Here is a 20,759-nt window from a genome sequence, read left to right on the forward strand (position 1 = left end):
CATGTATGAGGGTTTTTTCTAAATGCTCCGTATTTTCATCCACTCTTGGTATTTTCCATATTTTTCATTTTAGCCATTCTAGTGGGTGTACAGTGGTTATCTCATCAAAGTTTTCATTTGCATTTCCCTGCTGAGCAAGGATGTTGATCACCTCTGTGTGTTTATTGATCCTTTGGGTATCCCCTTTTGTGAAATGCCTACTCGAGTCTTGGCCATTTTTGTTTATTGGATTGATTGTTCTTCCCCTCATAAAGTACTTTGAATAGACTGCTTCTCTGTTTAAATTACTGTATCAGCCAGGGCTTTCCAGAGAAACAAAACCTAACAGGATGCGTGTGTGTATATCTATTTATATTTAATTCAATTTTTAAAGGGATTGACTCATGCAATTGTAGAAGCTGGCAAATGTGAAATTTGTAGGGCAAGCCGGCAGACTGGGGACTCAGGCAAGACTTCTATGATACACACTTAAGGCAGAATTCCTTCTACCAAAAACTTGGATTTTGCTCTCAAGGCCTTGAACTGATTGAATGAGGCCCACACACATTATCGAGCCCATCTACAAAATATCTTTTATTTTTATTTGTATTTATTTATTTATTTTTTTGAGATGGAGTCTCACTCTGTTGCCCAGGTTGGAATGCAGTGGTGCAATCTCAGCTCCCTGTAACCCCCACTTCCCGGGTTCAAGTGATTCTCATGCCTCAGCCTCCCGAGTAGCTGGGATTACAGGCGTCCCCCACCATGCCGGGCTAATTTTTTGGTGTTTTTAGTAGAGATGGGGTTTCGCCATGTTGGCCAGGCTGGTCTCGACTTCCTGACTCAAGTGATCTGCCTTCCTTGACCTCCCAAAGTGTTGAGATTACAGGTGTGAGCCACCATGCGTGGCTCAGAATATCTTTTTTTTTTTTTTTTTTTTTTTTGAGACAGAGTCTTGCTGGGTTGCCCAGGTTGGAATGCAGTGGTGCAATCTCAGCTCACTGCAACCTCCGCCCCTCAGGTTCAAGTGATTCTCCTGCCTCAGCCTCCCAAGTAGCTGGGACTACAGGTGCCTGCCACCATGCCTGGCAAATTTTTTTTTTGTATTTTTAGTAGAGATGGGGTTTCACTATGTTGGCCAGGTTGGTCTCGAACTCCTGACCTCATGATCCGCCCGCCTTGGCCTCTCAAAGTGCTGGGATTACAGGTGTAAGCCACCAGCCCAGCACAGAATATCTTTATAGCAACATCTAGACTCATGTTTGACCAAACAACTGGACACTGTAACCTGGTCAAGTTGACACGTAAAATTTAACTACCACAATTACCCAGAGCTGTTTATGTTGCTCTCAACTCTTAGCTCTATCTAATCTACTGTGAACATACATGCACACTCACACACATGCACACACTACCAACAACAGTGGTAGACATTTCATTGTAAGTGCACAGAAGTAAATATGGAAGGATGCTAAACTCATTACATGACCCCCTTGGGGAATGTCCAGGATGGACATCAAAGGGGATTTTAACTACAAGCTGTAACTGTAAAAAATATTTTTAAGAATATAATAATGGGTTAATTGTATAATTAAAATTAATATTTAAGTGGCAAAACTTTTAAAAGAAAACCAAAGGAGTCGTTAAGTCCCCATTATTCATTCAGCAAATATTTACTGAGCACCTACTTTGCAATAGTTGTTGGAGACACTGGATAAGACAGATCCAGTCTCTATCTTGGTGGAGCTGACATCATAGTCGAGAAGACAGGCAATAAAGAAGCAAACAGGGAAATAGCAGATGATTTCAGAAAGTGTTCAGGAGTATTCTGAAAGCAAGCAAGCCATGTGCAGGGGCACAGTATGAATGGGGACAGGGTTATGTTGGTGTGGGAAGTCAGGGAAGGCCTCCCTGCAGTGATATTTGAGCTGAGCCCTGAAAGAGGAGAAGGAGCTGGAAGAGCACACTGAAAGAGGACAAGGAGCTGGAAGAGTGGGGACCAACTCGGTACATGCAAAGGTCCTGTATTAGTCCATTCTCACACTGCTAATAAAGACATACCCAAGATTTGGTAATTTACAAAGAAAAAGAACTTTAATGGACTTACAGTTCCACTTATAGGTCTGGGGAGGCCTCACAATCATGGCAGAAGGTGAAGGAGGAGAAAAGGCACGTCTTACATGGTGGCAGGCAAGAGATCATTGCAGGGGAACTGCCCTTTATAAAACCATCAGCTCTCTTGAGACTTATTCACTATCATGAGAACCGAATGGGAAAGACCCAACCCCATGATTCAATTACCTCCCACGGAATCCCTCCCACTACACATGGGGATTATGGGAGCTACAAATCAAGATGAGATATGGATGGGGACACAGCCAAATCATATCAGGTCCTGAGGCAGGAATGGACCAGATGAGCTGGGATGAGAACCCAAGCAAGCTTCTGACTTGGAAACCGAGGCTCAGAGAGGGATACACACAACTCAAGGCCACAGCACTGGACGTGGTATAACTGAACGAGAATCCAGCTGTGTGCTGGTGCAGAGCTGCCTGTACAGGAAGGAGGCCTCTGAGCTGCTCAAAGGGCTCTATCTGCACTCCCCCACAGAAATCCCCTTATGATCAGAGCCAAACATTGGAGACCCAGCCCCCAGGCTTGTGCCAGCCTTGCCCTGCCAGCCAAGGCCAGTATCCCCACTGAGGGGCATCTGAGGGCTCTGTACACTTTGCCTCTGAGTTGAGGATCAATAGAAGCTACCACTGCTGTTTTACCTAATTATATAACAGTGGCCAGGGAGGAAGGTGTCAGGGATAGACGCTTTACCGGCACCATCCCATCAAATCCTGCTAAGAACTCCATGAAGGGGTATTATTATTCCCATTTTGCAGTTGGGAACACTGAGACTCAGAGAGATCAAATGCCTTGACTTCAGAATCTGTATTTTTTTTTTTTTTTGAGACAGGGTCTGGCTCTGTTGCCCAGGCTGGAGTGCAGTGACATGATCTCAGCTCACTGCAATCTCTACCTCCTGGGCTCAAGCCATCCTCCCACCTCAGCCTCCTGAGTAGCTGGGATTACAGATACATACCACCTAACCAGGCTAATTTTTGCTTTTTTTTTTTTTTTTTTTTTTTGTGGAGAGGGTGTTTCTCCATGTTGCCCAGGCTGGTCTCAAACTCCTGAGCTCAAGAGATCTGCCTGCCTCAGCCTCCCAAAGTGCTAGGATTATAGGCATGAGCTACTGCGCCTGCCCAGAGCCTGCATTCTTTACCTTTACAGTCTAGACCCTGCTCCTATAGATCCCCAGGAAAGAGCAAGACCATCTTTTTTAAATGCCAGAGCCTCAGATAGGAAAGGATGATCTCACCCAGGACTTCATTATACAGATAAGAAGACCAAGGTCCAAAGAAGGAGAGGAACCATCCTCTGACTATACAGAGCTGGGTCTCCTGCTCCCAGAGCCCCTCCAGCTTTACCCCCTGCTCCCCTCCCCTTCCTTCCATTCATGATGACCTCACTGGTCTCTAGGCTGTCGCTCCAACATGCTGAGCTCAATCCTGCCTCAGGGCCCTTGTACTTATTCCCCTGCCAGATCTAGCCTATCATTTCTTGTCTTCATTGACCACTCCATCTATAGTGGCTCTGCGTGTTGCTTTCCTACCTAGGTTTATTTTTATTCCTAGCATTTATCACCTTCTGTCATTATATTACGTATTTATATAGTTTCTTTTTGTCCACTACCTGCCTAGAATATTAGAACCATGAGAGCAGAGACTTTGTTCACAGCTGTATCCCCAGTGCCCAACCCAGGGCCTGGCCTCCATGATGCTCAATATGTGCTTGTGGGATGGATAGATGGGTGGATGAATGGATGGATGAATAAATGGGTGGAGAAATGGATGTATGATATGAGGGAGGAAGGGTGGGATAGATGGATGAATGGATGGGTAGATTAATGAGTGGATGGATAGATGGATGGATGAATGAATGGATGGATGGATGGATGGATGGATGGATGGATAGATGGTTGGATGGATGTTTGGATGGAGGGGTGGGTGGATAGATGAGTGGATGGATGGATGGATGGATGGATGGATGGATGGATGGATGGACAGCTGAATGGACGGATAGATGGTTGGATGGATATTTGGATGGACGGGTGGGTGGATAGATGGGTGGGTGGATGGATGGAGGGAATGAGGAGTGGATAGATGGATGAATGGATGGGTAGATGGGTGGGTGGATGAATGGATCAAGGGAGTGAGAGAGGGAAGGGATGGATGGATAGATGGATAGAAGGGTATACTAATGGGTGGATGAAAGGGTTGACGGATGGAAGGAATGATGGGCGGATGGGTGGGTGAGTGGATGGGTAGATGGGTGGGTGGATAGATGGTGGGCGGATGGACATTTCTCCCAGCGTCGCTTCCCATCCCTGTGCTGTGGGTCTCTCACGTGGCTGCCCTGACTTGCCTCCCCTGGCCCCAAGCCCGAGCAGGGAGCTCTGGGGGCTTCCACATGATTGGGCAGGATTTCTATTTCTCACCCTCCTCTGAGGCTGGGCAGACAAAAGCCTTTGTTCTTCCTCCCTGCCTGGCCCTGCTCCAGCCAGGGTGGGAAGTTGCTGGCAAGTCAGCAACTTAACTTTGCTGCAACTGAACTGAACTTTGAGGCGTAACCTGTCAAGCGAGCCCCGGAGGCTTCTGCGGTCCACAGGGGAGGGGCATGATGGAGGCATGGTGGGGAGCACCATGGCCAGGCACAGAGATGATCCCTATCTGGGTGGACCCCCAAGTCTCCCAGAGTAGATTCATTTTTTGAAGCAAGGAGGGGAAGCTAATAGATGAAGCTGGCTCTGGGCTCTCTGTGGACAGCTGGGGACGGTGTTTCTTTTTGTCCTCCAGAGTTGTTCTGCAGGGTGAGGGGTAAGAAAGGGGGCCGCTACTAAGTGCTCACGGTGGTCCTGTGAGGGGGTGTCACGGTCACCATTGCACAGAGGGGAAAACTGAGGCTCAAAGAGACTAAGTAACACGCCCCCAGGATCACCCGGCTAGAGTATGGAAGGCAAGGTATGGACCTGGACAGTGTGGCTCAGATAAAAATTTCTCATGTCCCATGTCACCCCGTCACACTTGGCATAAGAGCCACAGTTCTTCCCTAACACTGCCTTGCTGGATGAACTCAGGTAAGCCTCTTTCCCTCTCCGGGTCTTAGTTTCTCTCCTCTGTAAAATGAGAGGCTTGGCTGGGCCCTAATTTAGATATTGCAGGATTCTCTGGGTTACTGGGATCACTGGGTTCAACTTCCATAATAATATGAAGTCTCAAAGAAATTCTCAAATTCTCTCACAGTCCTGTGGCCACACCCGGGACCCACAGGCCCATTAGACAGAGCAGCAAACTAAGACCCTGACTGGCACCATCATTTCCTCCAGAGCCCTAGAGTGTGATGGGATCGCTGTGTCTCCGCCTGAACCCTGTCTGGAGTTCCAGGTGTCCGCTTTCCCCCAAGGCTGGGCACTGCACGGGAGAGAGAGTCAGAGAAAGCAGAATCTTGGGCAGGCGCTGCTGACCCATTGGGTGGGAGGTCTAAGAATCAAGGCTGCAGGATGGGGGATGAGGTGGGGGGGCCCTTTTCTCTGGAGTGGGACCCTCCCTTGGAAGCCAAACTGAATGGTCAACCATTACTCTGCTGGGCTGTCACTAACCACTCAAAACCAGTGGCCACTTGCCAATCTTCTGTCTTTGTCCAGGGCAGAATTGAATCTTGTTCAAATAAACTCAAAGGCCAGGTAGTTCACTGAAGCAATGACTGGAGAATTTGGCACTCTCCAGCCTGCCAGCCCTACCCAAACATCCTCAAGGTATCTGCATAACCAGCTCATTGCCCTGCCTACTCCAACCAGAGAATGTGGGAAGAAGCCCAGGACCTCTGTGCGGTGGTGGAGGCCCGCTTGGCTGCTCCTGACCTGTGTCTCTGGCCTCTTCAGCCTTTCCTCCAAATTCCACTCTGTGCACAAGCTGCTGGTCACCTCCCTGCACATGCTGTGTGGCTTCTGGCCTCGGGACCTCTGCACATGCAGTCTCCTCCACTGAGTTCTCCCAGAAACAGGCCCTCAGACACGAATTTGAGTGCAAGGAGTATATTTTGGGTGGTGATCTCAGGAAGCACCCATAGCAGGTTGGGTAATCAAAATAGGGAAGAAAGAAAATAAAATAAATGTTATTAAACCAATCACCGCTGTGGGCAACTAGACCTCAGACCCACCAGGGAACTCTGGGAGACAGCGAAGAGCATGCGCTTCAGTCATTCCAACCCAGTTGCAAGGGAAGAGATCATGTATCTTCCGACTTCCCCCAGTCGTGAGCTGCGGGCTAATTCCAGGGGCTAGTTCCAACTCTCTGGAACTTCTAGCTGAGCGTGCACCCATGGCCAAATGAAAGCACTTAAGCAGACATCTGCAGTGAGCGAGAGTGGGCATCTGTCTAGGGGACGCGGGCCGGGCAGCAACAGCATCTGCTACAAATGTTTCCTGGTTCCTGACCTTTTGCAACCTGACTCCTACCTACTCTTCAAAGCCCATCTCAGATGTCACCCCCTCGGGGAAGCCTTCCCTGACCCTCCTAAATCAGTCAATCACTTCATGAGTTTCTAATATCTGCATGAATCACAGTGGATTGTAATTGCCTGTCCCACAGGGGAGTGAACAACTTAAGGTCAAAGGTTTTACATCTTGGGCGTTAAGAACATGCATGTCACGCAGTCTTGAGTTCTGCTCTCCTGGCCCCTCTGAACAAACTGTGGTCTCCTATCTGTCCCCAGGGCCTGGTTGTTATTGGGCCCTCAGTGAACGTCCAGATAAAGGGATTGGAATGGCAATTTCAGCTCATTGACTTTTCCTCTTTCCCCTGAACTTTCCTGGTATTTCCATGATGGATGTTGTGGTTCAGCTAATGGGTCCCGATTCTAAATCCTCTTCAGAATCACTAGGATAGCATTTAAAAAACTTTGGGGGCTGGAGCCCCATCCCCCTGAGATTCAGATTCCGTTACTGGGATCACTGGCTTCACCTTTCATAATAATATGAAGTCTCAAAGAAATTCCCAAATTCTCAACCGGACAAGGGCATGCAGGGAGTGAGTTTGTCATGAAGTCCTACGGGGAGAGGGCCAGAGGGCAGGCAGCCTGGAGTCCATGCTGGGAGACAAATGTGGAGGAAGCAGAAATTAGAAATTAAAAGAAATGAACTGGACATATGGGCAGCCACATGGTTAGAGCTTAAAAACAAACATAGAAAAAAGGGAACATGGTGGAGCAATGTTTTATTACAATACGATGTAAATGGCTGAGAACCACAATGAGACTGTGCCGTCCTTAGGAAGGGGCTGTCAGACTCAGCTGCCCACTAGATTTGCCTGGTAACCCTTAAAGATTCCTATGCCCATGCCTACCCCCAAAGCCACTGCAGTGGAATCTCTGGGGCGAGATCCAGTATTTTTAAAATGCGAAGTCTGGGCTGAGAACTGCAGAACACGGGAGAACAGCTATCTCAATTCTTTGTCCTCAGAGGGGAATTCATCCTGTAATAATGTTACAAGGGTAAATGGAAAACCAACTATATGCCAGGCACTGTGCTCAGAGCTTTGCACACATTACCTACCCTTGTGGGGAGAGTTCTTTTATAATCCCTACTTCATAGATGGGGAAACTGAGGCACAGAGTGGTGAAGTCGGTGACCAAGGACTCACAGCTATTCAGTAGCAGAGCAGGCTTGTCCTCAGTACCCGGGGCTGCAAGTCTGGCAAAGGAGTCCTTGGCACCTCCCTCCTGTGTGCTCCAAAATTGCTCTCTCTGACGCCCTTTGACTCACTTGGTTCAGCAACCGCAAGGAGTTGTTGTTTCCCATAAATTCCTCATGGTCTTTTTTTTTTTTTTTTTTTAAACCTCAGCGCACAGGCAAACCCCACATCATGAAGGCTGATCGGCTTTTGAAGGCGAGACCTTCATTCTAAAGGTCACAGCTGTATGAGCCGTGTTTATTAGAGCTTATTTTAAATTGCTCCCTCAACCCTGTGAAAGGCGGGAAGTCTTAAAATTACTTCTCCCCAAAACTGGCGCCACCCAACCCTGGAAGTTCTCTGACTTGTTTCATAAGGAATTATTAATTATGATTTGTTTTTATAATTGTCCACTTGGAGTCTTGGATGACACACGCTCAGACTTGCCCATCCTTTTTTAAAAGAAGGAATCAAAAGTTCATGGAAATCAGTTATATTTAATGAGTGGAATTACTTGGGCTCAGTCCTGGATTAACTGTGTGACCTTGGGCAAACCCCTTCCCTCTCTGAGCCTCTGTTTTTCTAGCTGTAGGAGGAAGAGTGTGGATTAATATCTCTCATAGGATTTAGAATATGTATTTCCTGCCAGTCGCCATGGCTCACGCCTGTTATCCCAGCACTTTGGGAGGCCGAGGTGGGAGGATCATTTGAGGCCAGGAGTTTGAGAGAAGCCTGGCCAACATGGGGAAACCCTGTCTCTACTAAAAATGCAAAACTTAGCCAGGCGTGTTGGCGCATGCCTGTAATCCTAGCTACTTGGGAGGCTGAGGCACAGGAATCATTTGAACCTGGGAGGCAAAAGTTTCAGTGAACCGAGATCATGTCACTACACTCCAGCCTGGGCAACAGAGCAAGACCTTGTCTCAAAAAACAAACAAACAAACAAAATATGTATATGTGTGTGTGTGTGTGTATATATATATATATACACACACACACACACACACACACACATATGTATATTTCCCAGACCATAAATATGCCAGGGGTATATGAAGAGGTTTTAAGTTGTACATGGATGGACATTTTATAAGTTGTATTTTTTATTTCAATTCTTAAAATTTCATAGTATTACAACATTTCATTTGTAAATGCAGACATTTCTTATTGTTAGGATGGTCAATGAGGAGGAGGAGCTCTGCTTCATGCAGTCAGTCACTCAGGAATCTGACAGATGGGGGCTCAGTCATCTGCAACAGGTAGCTTCCAAGGTCTCCCTGAGGATCAACATCCAGCCAGCTGCCAGAAGAGGTGATAGAGGAGAAACCCATGCTCAACCAGCTCAGCCGAGAATGACGTACACATCAGTTCCCCTCACATTTCACTGGATAGAATTTATCACATGGTTCCACCTAGATGCAAAGGCAGTTGGGAAATGTAGTCTCCTGGGTGGGTGACTGCTTACCTACAACACTTAGGAGGAGGAGTATGAGTCTTTGGTGGATCCTTGGTCATCTCTGTCTCAGTATTCTCTTTTTATTTTTATTTTATTTTACTTTATTTATTTATTTTTTGAGACAGAATCTTGCTCTGACTCCCAGGCTGGCATGCAGATAGTACCATCTCAGCTCACTGCAACCTCAGCCTCCTGGTTTAAGCACTTCCCCCTGCCTCAGGCTCCTCAGTAGCTGGGATTACAGAGGTGCACCACCAGTTAATTTTTGTGTTTTTAGTAGAGACGAAGTTTCGCCATGTTGGCCAGGCTAGTCTCAAACTCCTGACCTCAAGTGATCCACCCACCCTGGCCTTCCAAAGTGCTGGGATTACAGACGTGAGCCACCACACCTGGCCAGTAAGTTGGCAGCAGTGGGATTCAAACCCATGCCTCTGAAGAGACTGGAGTCTTAATACAGTGCCTTAGACCGCTCGGCCACCCTACCTCCGTGGAAAATATTATTCTCTCTTTAAATAAATAAGTTGAAGGACAGAGATTTGCCACCTCACTTCTCAATGAATTAAAATACAATATACAATTTTCTATAGGTGGGAGGGCTCATTTGATGCAATGCTAAGGTTTACTGTTCAGCTGTGGTAATCAAGACAGTCTGGTTGGCAGAGGGACAGATGCATGCAACAGTGGAACAGAGTAGAGAACCCAAGAATAGACACGCACAAATGTGCCCAAAAGATTTTTGACAAAGATGCAAAAGCAGTTCAATGGAAGATAAAAAGCCTTTTCAACAGATCGTGCTGGGGCAATTTGACATCCACACGCAAGAAACAAAGCACATTGACCTAAACCTCACACGTTATACAAAACTTCACTCAAAATGGATCATAGACTTAAAGATAAAACATAAAGCTATAAAACATTTAGAAAAAAGCAGGAGAAAATCAGTCTTCAGAATCTAAGGCTAGGCAAAGAATTACTAGATGTGAAAACCAAAAGCACAATTCATAAAAGGAAAAAAATTGATAAATCGGACCTCATCAAAGTTGAAAACTTTTAACCCATGAGAGGCCCAATTAAGAGGAGGAAAAGACAAGCTACAGATTAGGAGAATATATTTGCAAACTGCATATCTGACAAAGAACTAGTACCTAGAATTCTTAAAACTTGACGGAATTCTCGAGAACTCTCAAAAGTCAGCAGTTAAAAAAATCCAAATAGAAAATGAGCAAAAGACACAAACAAATATTTCACTGAAAAGAACATGCAGATGGAAATAAACACATGAAAAAATGTTCAACATCATTAGCCATTAGGGAAATGCAAATTAAGGCCACAATCGGATATTGCTACACACCTATCAGAATGACCAAAATAAAAAACGATGGGAACTTTCGCATTCAATCACTGGTGAGGAATGGAGACACTAGAACACTCATACATTCCTGATGGGAATGTAAAACGGTACCGTATTCTGGAAAACAGTTTTTTAAAAACTGCCTTATGACTTGGCAGTTGCAATCCTGGACATAAAAATGAAAACTTATGTTTGTGCAAAAACTTATGCTCAAATCTTCATAGCAGCTCTCTTCATAATAGGCAAAAACTGGTAAACCACCCGGAAGCCTGTCTATGGTTTTTTTTAACTAAAAAAAGCTGTGTTATATCCATACTATGGACTGCTACTTGCAATACAAAGGAATAAAATATTGATAACACACAATTTGAATAAATCTTCAGAGAATTATGCTGAGTGAAAAAAACCAGTCCTCAAAGGTTACATAAACTATATGATTCCATTTATGTAACATTCTTGAAACCACACAATTATAGAAATGGAGAACAGATTAGTGGTTGCCATGGCTCGGGGGCAGGGTTGGGGGTGGGAGATGGGTTTGGTTATACAAGGGCAATGAGGGATCCTCGTGGTGATAGAAATGTCTGTATCTTGACTATATCACTGTCAATATCTTTATTGTGACTGTTAACATTGGGGGAAACTGGAAAGGGTATATGGACTCTCTCTGTTTATTTCTTACAACTGCATGTAAATCTATAATAATCTCAAAAGAATACATTTTAAAAAGAATATATTATACAATTTTCTATACCCAGACACTACTAAATATAATTATATCTTTGGTAACACAGACACACTGTTCTCAGATAACGGAAGTAGTGCGGTGATTATGTGTGTGACTTGACAATGGGATGGGCTGGGTTCAAATCTCAGCTACCAGTCCCTTCACCTCCTTGGGCCTCAGTTTCCACACCTGCAGGTGCTGAGCAATGAGAGGAACTGTCTCGTGGGGTTGCTGGGGGGACACGATGACGTGATTCATGAGACATGCAGAGCACAATGCTCACTTGCAGTGGCTGCCCAGTAAATGAAATTGCCACTTTTCCGGGCTGTAGAAAAGGCTACAGGTAGAGGCAGGCAGAGGATTGGACCCGAGAGCATCCTCTGAGAGCTCTAGATTGGGATCATGTCTCACCAGCCAGGGGGTTTGTTTTGACTTCTTTCTTGCAGGGAAGTGTCTGCTGAGTGGTCCATTCCACTCCCCTGAGTTTGGCCTGGTCGCTTCTTGTCTGCCCTCTGGACCCCGGTGGGTGCAAACTTTCATGGGTGTCTCTCCACCTGGAGCCTGTGGTTGGGACTGCTCAGGTGGGGACACAGCCTGGGGGGTGATCCTCTGTAAGGCAAAATGGAGCAGGAGTGGAACCCATGCCTACTGCATACCTATTGTGTGCCTTGTGACTTACGTGCTGCAGCTCACGGAATTCTCCCAACAACTTTGAGCAGTAGGTGCTATAATCACTCCTGCGTGATCCAGAGAAAACCGAGACTTGGTGAGGGGAATGGACTTGTCCAAGGTTGTGCAACTAGTAGGTGGCAGAGCTGAGATCTGAGCCCTGGTCTGTCTGATTTAAATCCAGAATCATTTTCACTGTTGATAATAACCTCACCACTTATTAAGTATCTACTAGAGTAATCAATATGCTAGCTCTTTCCATTGAGGTATGATCACCTTTCCATTTTAGAGAAGAGGAAATAGGGGTTAGGCAAGGTGCATTGCCAAGATGGACAACAGCTCTCAAAAAACAGCCAACCTTGCAGCCAACGGGCAGCTTTCTTGTGTGCCCCCAACCCCACCTGTAGCTCCAGCCCAGCTCAGCCAAGATCACTCAAGCTTTGGGACTTTTAAATGCTGAGTCAGCAAACAGCCCCTACCTTGAGATACTCTGCCTAGGCAGACTGTGGTTGTTTGCACTTCAGCTTCAGGCCTCCAGGGTCAGCTGAGATAGCAAGACCTTCCCCTGGGGGCTGGATGGGGTCATTGGGAGCCACTGAGAGACCCTTTCCCCACTTGGCCTGGCAGACAGAGTGGCAGTTGGAAGAGGCTCGAGGTGGCTGTGGTGGTAACAACTTCCTTTTGAGTAATAACATTTACTGAAAAGCAATTCTGCTTTTAGCACCAGAAGTTCACCATCCTTGCAAGCAGGCGCCTAAGAATACCTTCATTCAACCACAGTTCAGAGATTCACAGACTTCCTTTTGCACTCCCTCCAGGAGAGTTTCACATTTGGTGTTGAGGGAAAACCAAATACCACAATTATTGGAGGGGGTGGGAGGGGTGTTGAGAGGGAGGTGATGCGAAGGAGGCCAGGTGGCATCAACCACAGCCCCCAAGGCCTCACAGGCAGCCTCTGGGCAGCGGCTCAGCCTCTCGCCCTCAGTTACTGGAAAGACAGCGGACGAGCTCATAATGAAACCGACAGGCTGACAATTTATCTTCCTTTTACAAGAAAAAGAAAGTGATTGTCCTTCAAACAAGCATGACTTTGGAAGCCAGGGACTTACCCTGGCCACTCTGCAAATTAGAGACAGAGCCAGGCTGCTCCAGAGGCCCCGAGCCCCTGCCTGTCACCCCCAATTAGCGCTGGAGTTCTTTAGGCTCGTTTTTTCTATTGCCCAAAATCCAGTCTACTGGGGCATAATGGGGACTTATGGAAAGAAAAAAATCCAATCTGCACTTGGGAGGGGATAGCCTTAAATGTTAGGCACTCACCGCAGGCAGCTGGGGGTGGCTGAGGGCAAGGGAGAAGGCATGGGTGGGGAAGGAGGGGATGTGCCAGGCAGAGCCAGGAGGCTCCAAAAAGCAGCTCTAAAAAGCTCTCCCCCTCCCAGCAATCCAGCCTCCTGACTCACGCCAGACACAGAGGCAGCTGATGGGATGGGAAGAGGCTGGCTTTGGGAGCCACAGGGATGTGGGGGCAAACTCCAGCTCTGCCACTTGCTGGCTGTGTGACCTTGGGTGGGTAACTTCACCTCTCTGAGACTCAGTTTCCTCACCTTTAAGATGAGGATGAGTATAGGAGGTCAGGACATGACCTTCCTGTGCTCAAAACCCTCCCACGGCTCCCACCTCACTTGGCAGAAAGTCAAAGATCTCTGTGGCCTACCAGGCCCTACAAGATCTTTCCCATGCTTCCCTTATAACCTCATCTCTCTCTCTCTGTCTCTTTTTTTTTTTTTTTTTTTAAGACAGGGTCTCACTTTGTCACCCAGGCTGGAGTGCAGTGGTGCCAACACATCTCACTACAGCCTCAACCTCCTGGGCTCAAGTCATCCTCTCACCTCAGCCTCCCAGATAGGTAGGACTACAGACACATGCCTCCACGGCCAGCTAATTTTTGTATTTTTTGTAGTAGAGATGGGGTTTTGCCATGTTGCCCAGGCTGGTCTCGAACTCCTGAGCTCAAGTGATCTGCCCACCTTGGCCTTCCAAAGTGCTTGGGATTACAGGTGTGAGTCACCGCGCCTGGCCCATCTCCTCTTACTCACTCTCTCTGGTTCCCTCTACCCCTGCCACACTGGGCTCCTCTTTGTTCCTCCAACATGCTAAGCACACGCCTACCTCGGGGCTTTTGCACACACTGTTTCCGCTGCCTTCAGCATCCTTCCTCCAGATAGCCACAGGGCTTCTTCCCTCTCCTGATCTGGGTGTCTGCTTAAATGACCCCGGGGGTCCTGCTCTGACCCCCGGCCCTTCCAAATTGCTCCCCTGGCCTTACCTCTTCACCCTGCGTGAATGTTTTCCCATAACACTGACCACTACTTGACACAATAATTTAGGGGGTTCATAACTCCCCATTGGCCAGACTGTAAGCTCCCAGCAGGCAGAGGCCAGTTCTCCACTGTCCTCCATTAAATCTCAGAGCCTGGCACATAGGGGGCACTCATCCAGCATTGAATGAACAGATGCAGGGTTTTGTGGTGAGAAGGGAAGAAGGACGTGTGTGGCGGGTTCAGCACCAGCCCAGGGTGCGTGCTCACTGTCACTTCTTCTCTCCTCTGCCCAGCACCAGCCCCATGTCATGTGCTTGTTGAATTCCTACAATGGAAGGATGCATTTTACAGATGCAGGAATGAGACCACAGAGCCCAAGCGACTGTCTCAGCCCGCAGCGGGGCAAGGCTTTGAATTCTGGTCTGCGGGTCTCTTGGCCTCCAGGACAATGGTGACAGTGTCCAGTCTGACTTGGGGTCTGGGTGAGAGAAATGGCTGGTGGGGCCATCAGACTCTTGAGAAGAGGCCCTGGCTTTGAGGATCTCCAGCCGACATCTGGGCTTAGGACTGGGGTTCACGCCCCGTCCTCCTGTCCCACAGTCCCACATTCTGCCCCAAAGCAGAATGCAAGCCCCATCAAGGAGGCTCAGGGTTTCCAGAGAGGGGCTTCCTCAACTTTCTGTTGCTGGAAAGTTCTGTCCCAGAAAGGGCAGACGCTTGAGGAGCTCCTGGATCCGGCAGAAGGCTCTGAGACTAGGAGACCCCTGGTGTCCTCGCTCCCCGGCACCCCGCCAGTTCTCGAATACAAGGGACTTTCCAGAGAAGTCAGCCTCCTGGCTGCCTCCAAGCCTGCCCAGGCCTGCAGGCCCAGGTCTCCATGAAGCTCAGTCCTGCCTCGGTTTCCCTGTTTTTAATTTCTTGGAGAGGCCAAGGAGTTTGGAGGTGAACAGCCTCATACGAGCACTAATTTCCCCTAGGCCTGGGGCATAGGAATTTTGGAGCCATAAACAGGCTTCTCACAGCCCCCATGATGAGTCCTCCCCACACTCCATCCACCCTGGACTCTGGGCTGAGCTGGGCAAGGAGCTGGTCTGGGGTGGGCTGGGTGTTGCCTGTGGGTGCGGCTCAGAGCTGGGGGCGCTACCTCTGCCCTTCTGTCCCCCATCAGAGCTGCCCCAGCTGTATGAGAACCCCTCCCACAATGGCTACAACAGAGGGCACGCAAGTGAGACGCCAGGAAGAACTGCTTCAGCTTCGTTATCCTCAAAGGTGTTCGTACCCATCAAGCCTCCTAGAGCAGACCTCCATGACAGCTGCCCATGGGACAGGTCCACTCTGGAGATATGTTTAGTTTGGTCCTTAAAGTATTTTTTTTTAATGTGAATCAATTGCCAACATCTGACATGCCAGGAGATTTCACATAAAGTCCTTTTCTCTGGCTTCTCTTGAAAAATGGGAAGATGTGGCCATACTGGGCCCACATTCCTACTGGACACAGGAGGCCTGGGAGTGGGGTTGCGGGAGGCCCTTTCTTAGTGGCACATAGTAGGTACTTTCCTGTTCACCCAGTCCCTGCATGCCCCACTTTCCTCATATCATTTCCTTGCCAGGGTCTTGAAGTATGAGTAGGAGTGCGCCAGAAAAGGGCAGTGGAAAAGCGTTCCAGCAAAGGGGAACAGCGTGAGTCGGTGAGATGCATCTGTTCAAGATTCACTCGACAAATATGTATTGATACTTACTGTATACACAGGGACATACAGCAAGAAACCAAACAAATCAAAATCTCTGCCCTCTGGTTCTCAGCTAGAGGTGGTTTTGTTCCCCATGGGACACTTGGTTATGTCTGGAGATGTGTGTGGTTGTCACAGCTGGGTGGAGGGAGGGTGCTATCAGCATCTAGTGGGGAGAGGCCAAGGAGGCTGCTGAACCAATCCTACAAAGCCCAGGGCAGCCTTCAGGTGCAGAATGATCTGGCCCCAAATGTCAGTCAAGCCAAGGTCGAGGGACCCTGGTCCGGGGGCACAGACACCAAATAGGACAAGCCAATGAACTCAAACCGTGAAGCCAGCAGCTGATGAGCACTTTCGGATTAAATGAGCCGGAGCATGGTGAGAGGGATGCAGAGGGGTGTGGCTGCTCAAACAGGTGCCGTCTGCACAGGGGCAGGTCCTGAAAAGATTGTGGCACTGCTGGCAGGGTGGCCCTGGCATTGTAGGTGTTCACTGAGTGGCACTTTCTTTTTTCCACCCTGCCTAATCTTCATGACGTCCTTGCTGTGGAGCAGGGATCTGTGTTCCTGACCGGGCATCGCAAGCCGTTAAGAGGCTGACCCAGGGCTCCTGACCACTCAGTCAGTGTCCTTGTGCTGCCTGGAGGTAGTGATGGTCTCTGAATTGCCTCCTGTCATTCAGTCAGTCAACAAACATCTAACAGGAGCCCATTGGGGCATAGGGGGAGGGAGCAACTTAGGGTGAACTGCTCAGCTTACAACATGTGGTAGGTACGCAGGAAAGACTGGTGAAAGGAATGAAAAGAAAGAATAAGTGAATAAGCAAGCCTCAGGCCATTAAGACAATGATCATGGCCAGCATTGATTGAGTGCCTACTGTGTGGCAGGCTCATCCTAAACCCTCCATGTGAGAGTCTTACAGAAGGAACACCTCTGAAAGGGGGGCCAACGACCATCCCCACTTTCAAGGTGAGAAGACTGAGGGGAAGAGAGGTGATGTCAACTGCCCGAGGCCTAGCAAGAGAATGGCAAGGCTGTCGCCGGAGCCTGGGCCTACCAGATCCCAGGGTGCACCTGCTGCCTCAGTGTTGTGTATGCTGTGGCTCAAATCGTTATGCCACCGGCCCTGTGAGGGAGGTGCTAGCATTATCCCATGTTACAGATGAGGAAACCAAGTCTCAGAGACAGGAAGTGACTTGCCCAAGGTCACACGGCATGTGTGTTTGAATCTAGATTTCACGTTTTCAGCCACCAAACCCTGCCCCTCGTAAGCCCTGGCCGCTCTGTGAGGAGGATGCGTAAGTCCCAAGGGGTTGGGGAGGGAAAGTGGGCCAGGGAGCTAAGCCCTCCAGGGTCTGCAGGACCAGGCAGGAGGCTCTGAAGGAGGCAGGGTCCCTGGTGGGCAGATGGGAGCAGGTGGGCCTGGGGAGCCGCCAGCCTTCCGCCCCCACGTGCAGGCATGCCCGCCAGGAGGGCCTGTGGAGAGGCCGCCCCGCGGTGTGTGCCAGGCTGACAATGGCTCCTTGTGTCTGTGCCGACGGTGGGAGAGGGGAGGTATTGTTTGCCAGGACACCTTCCCGCCAAGGCTGGCTGCAGGCGGTCCTTGTCCTAGGACGCTTGGCACGGGGCTGTTCCGGGCGCCAGAGGGAAGTGTGTGTGTGCATGTGTGTGGCTGGGTGTTCTGGGCCACGTTGGTGCTGGCTGCGGCTCCCTGGGTGTGCCTGTGCACGTGTGTGTGGGGTGAGGGCATGTGTGTCTATCTGAGTGTGCCCATGCACGTCTTGCACACCCATGGCCAGTGTGTCTGAATAGTCTTGTGGCTTGGGGCTTCCATGTGTCTCCCTGGGCGTGGCTGTGGCTGTGACTTTACGTCTGGCACCGTGTGTCTCTCTGTACCTCTGGACCACGTGTGGCTCTGAGCACCTTTGGTTTGCGTGCCCATGTATGTCTCAGCCTGTCCCTCTGCTTGTGTCTCCATCTCCCTCGGGGTCTGTCTGTGGAGCATCTTGATCCCAAGGGGGCAAGAAAGCCTCTGTTTCAGAGTGCGGGCTGAGTTCCATTCGTGGCTGATAGGTGAGGGAGGGGGCTTCAGGCAGAGGGAATGGTGGGTGCCCAAGCTGGGGGGCAGGATGGAGTTGGCAGATCTGCAAGAGCAGCCAGGAGGCTGGGTGGCCGCAGTGAAGTGAGTGGAGGTGAGAGGACACCAGGGGCCACCTGCAGGCCAGAGTCCAAAGTGAGGGGCAGCCATCAGAGGATCTGGATGGGACCATGACATGGTCTGTTTCATGGCAACGCCTTTGGCTGCAGGTGAAAAATGGGTTGTAGGGCAAGCCTGAGAGGTGTTGGGAGTCGCTGTGGCCAGTGTTAGGAAGCAGTTCCACAGCGCCACCTCAAGGAACCCCCACTCCATGGCAGGGGTTGCAACTTCCCCATTTTGCAGAGGTGGAAACTGAGGCCCAGGGAGGAGAAATGCCTCCCAAGGCCTGCAGCCTGGGAGCTGGCCCAATGCTAAAGCCAACCCTCCACCTCCTCCATCTTGGCTGCCTGCTCCTCTGCAAGTCGCTCTGCATCTTGAGGCTCTGGTGACGCCTGTGCTAAAGTCAGAGAACCTGGAGTCCTCGTCAGGTCAGGAACCAGGACTCTGGAGCCAGATGACTTGGGTTCGAATCCTGCCTCTGTAGCTGTGTGACCTTGGGCAAATCACTTAGCCTCTCTGCACCCCAGTGACCTCATTGGCCAAATGGGAGTGCTTGTTCATCATTACCTCCAAAGTGCTGTGCCACTAGATCCCACCTGTGACAGCCGCATCTCCTATCCCTGCTTTATTTTTCTCCAAAACACTCATCACCTTCTAGCATACTACATCTTGTATTTACTTCCGATGACACTGGAGTGTCCGTTCCACGGCATTTTGGGTTTTTTGTTCATGAGTAGTGTCTAGAACAGGGTCCTGCACATAGTTGGTGCTCAGGACTATTTTGTTGCAAGAACCAGGTAATACATGTGACATATGGGAACACAGCCTGGCACGTAGTGGGTGGAATGGAGGTGTCTGCTGTTGTCATTAAGTTGGGAGTAGGCACTTGGAAGCAGGACAGCCCAGTCAATCCTGATTAGGAATGGGTGTCCCATCTCCTTTTCTGCACATCCTTCTTGCCTTCAGGACCTGCTCAGCCCACTCTGGGCCAGACATCTTTTATATTGGTCTCTGAAAATAGGGAGACTCTGGCAGGTGCTATGAGCTGCTGGTTTCAAGCCTTATGAGGGATCAGTGACCCGGTTTCCCCACCTGACCACAGCTGATCCAGAGGCTTCGATGGTCTCTGCTCTCTCAGGACTCTCCTCTGTATATTCCCCTATATATATATTCCCCCTGACCACCCCACTGCCCCAGATCTTCCCAGTCCCTCTGTCGGTAAATACAGTTGGCAGCTCTGGCAAAAATGTCCTGCCAATGGTACAACGAGTCGTTGGTGAATATTTAGGAAGCCCAGCGGGTTTGTCAAGGAAGCAGCTTCCTGAGCATAAATATTTCTAAGAAAGAATGAAAGGAGGGGCCTCGGCCTCAGAGATCAGTGGGTGGTGTGCTGACCTCCCAAGGTCATCATGTCCAGTCCTCTGCTGCATGGTCATTGCTTCTGGTGTCCCATTGGCACCTGGCATCCTGGTTTCCTGAGAAGGGTCAGGAGCTGCAGGGGGAATCCAGGCCCAGGCGGAGAACAACCTGCTCTGTCCTCTCACTTCCTTCCTGCTTTTCTTCCAGACTCCCATCCCTGGCTGGGACATGCTGCAGTTGTCAGCAGCTGCACAGGAGAAGCAGGTTGGGGGCTGACCAGGGTAGCCATGGCTTCCTTGAGGACCCACTGTGGTGTGGGGGCTTTGCTCAGCGTAACTGGATAAACTTGGTATCGGCCCTCCCCTCCTGCAGCTGCCAAGGTTCAGGCCTCTTCTCCCATTCCTCTCTCCACCCCACATTTATTGAGCACCTACTATGTGCCCAGCCCTCGGAGACAATGAAAAGACCTCTGCCCTACCTTTGCCCTGGTTCTGATGTCCAGTATCTGTCCTGGGACAGTTGTGACAGCTGCTCAATTGTCCCTTTCAGTCTCTCCCTGTCCCAGCCCTTCCCCTTCCACAACGGCTGAGTTCATCTTCAGAAAGTGCAACTCCAGATCTTGCTTCTGCTCTGCTCTAAAACCATCAATGGCTCCCCGCTGCGACCTGGAGAAAGTCCAAACGGCCCGGCTGGGTGAGCCTGGTCCTGCTCCATCTACCCCAACTGCCCTCTGCAGCTTCGTTCCCCACGTCGCCAGCCACGAGGATGACCCCTAGTTTTTCGAACACACCTGGCCCCTCCCACCTCCTTACCCTTGCTCAAGCCATTCCTGCCAGCCCAGTGCCCTTTCTCAGCCAACCTCTCGTGTCTGTAGCCTTTTGTTTGTTTCTTTCTTTCAGGACACATCACACAGTGCTTTGAATTGCACTTATTTATATCTTCTTTTCCTCCCAGAGGGCAGGAAGTTGCCAGATTCATTTCTGGGCTTGGCGCCAGGCTCAAAGTAGGTCCTTGTTAGATTCGCTGGCTGAGCTGGTGAGGATGCTGTATTTGCGCGGGTCTGGGGCCACCCAGCACATGTGTCCCTTCTTCTGGAGACCACGTTGAGTTTCCCCTGTGGTGCCTCCACCCCCTTGGTCTTGTGAATTAGGAGAGTTGACCCCATCCATCCTCAGGGCTGCAGGCCTGGCCAG

General features: G+C 49.6%; 1 annotated feature.

Moving 5' to 3' along the window:
* Positions 12,928–13,127: an enhancer, noted in NCBI's record as "active region_18085". NCBI's record gives its function as "activates an Ori minimal core promoter by ATAC-STARR-seq in GM12878 lymphoblastoid cells {active_cell/tissue: GM12878}" and the evidence as "EXISTENCE:reporter gene assay evidence [ECO:0000049][PMID:35858748]".

Source organism: Homo sapiens, chromosome 20 (genome assembly GCF_000001405.40).
Source record: "Homo sapiens chromosome 20, GRCh38.p14 Primary Assembly".
NCBI lineage: Eukaryota > Metazoa > Chordata > Mammalia > Primates > Hominidae > Homo > Homo sapiens.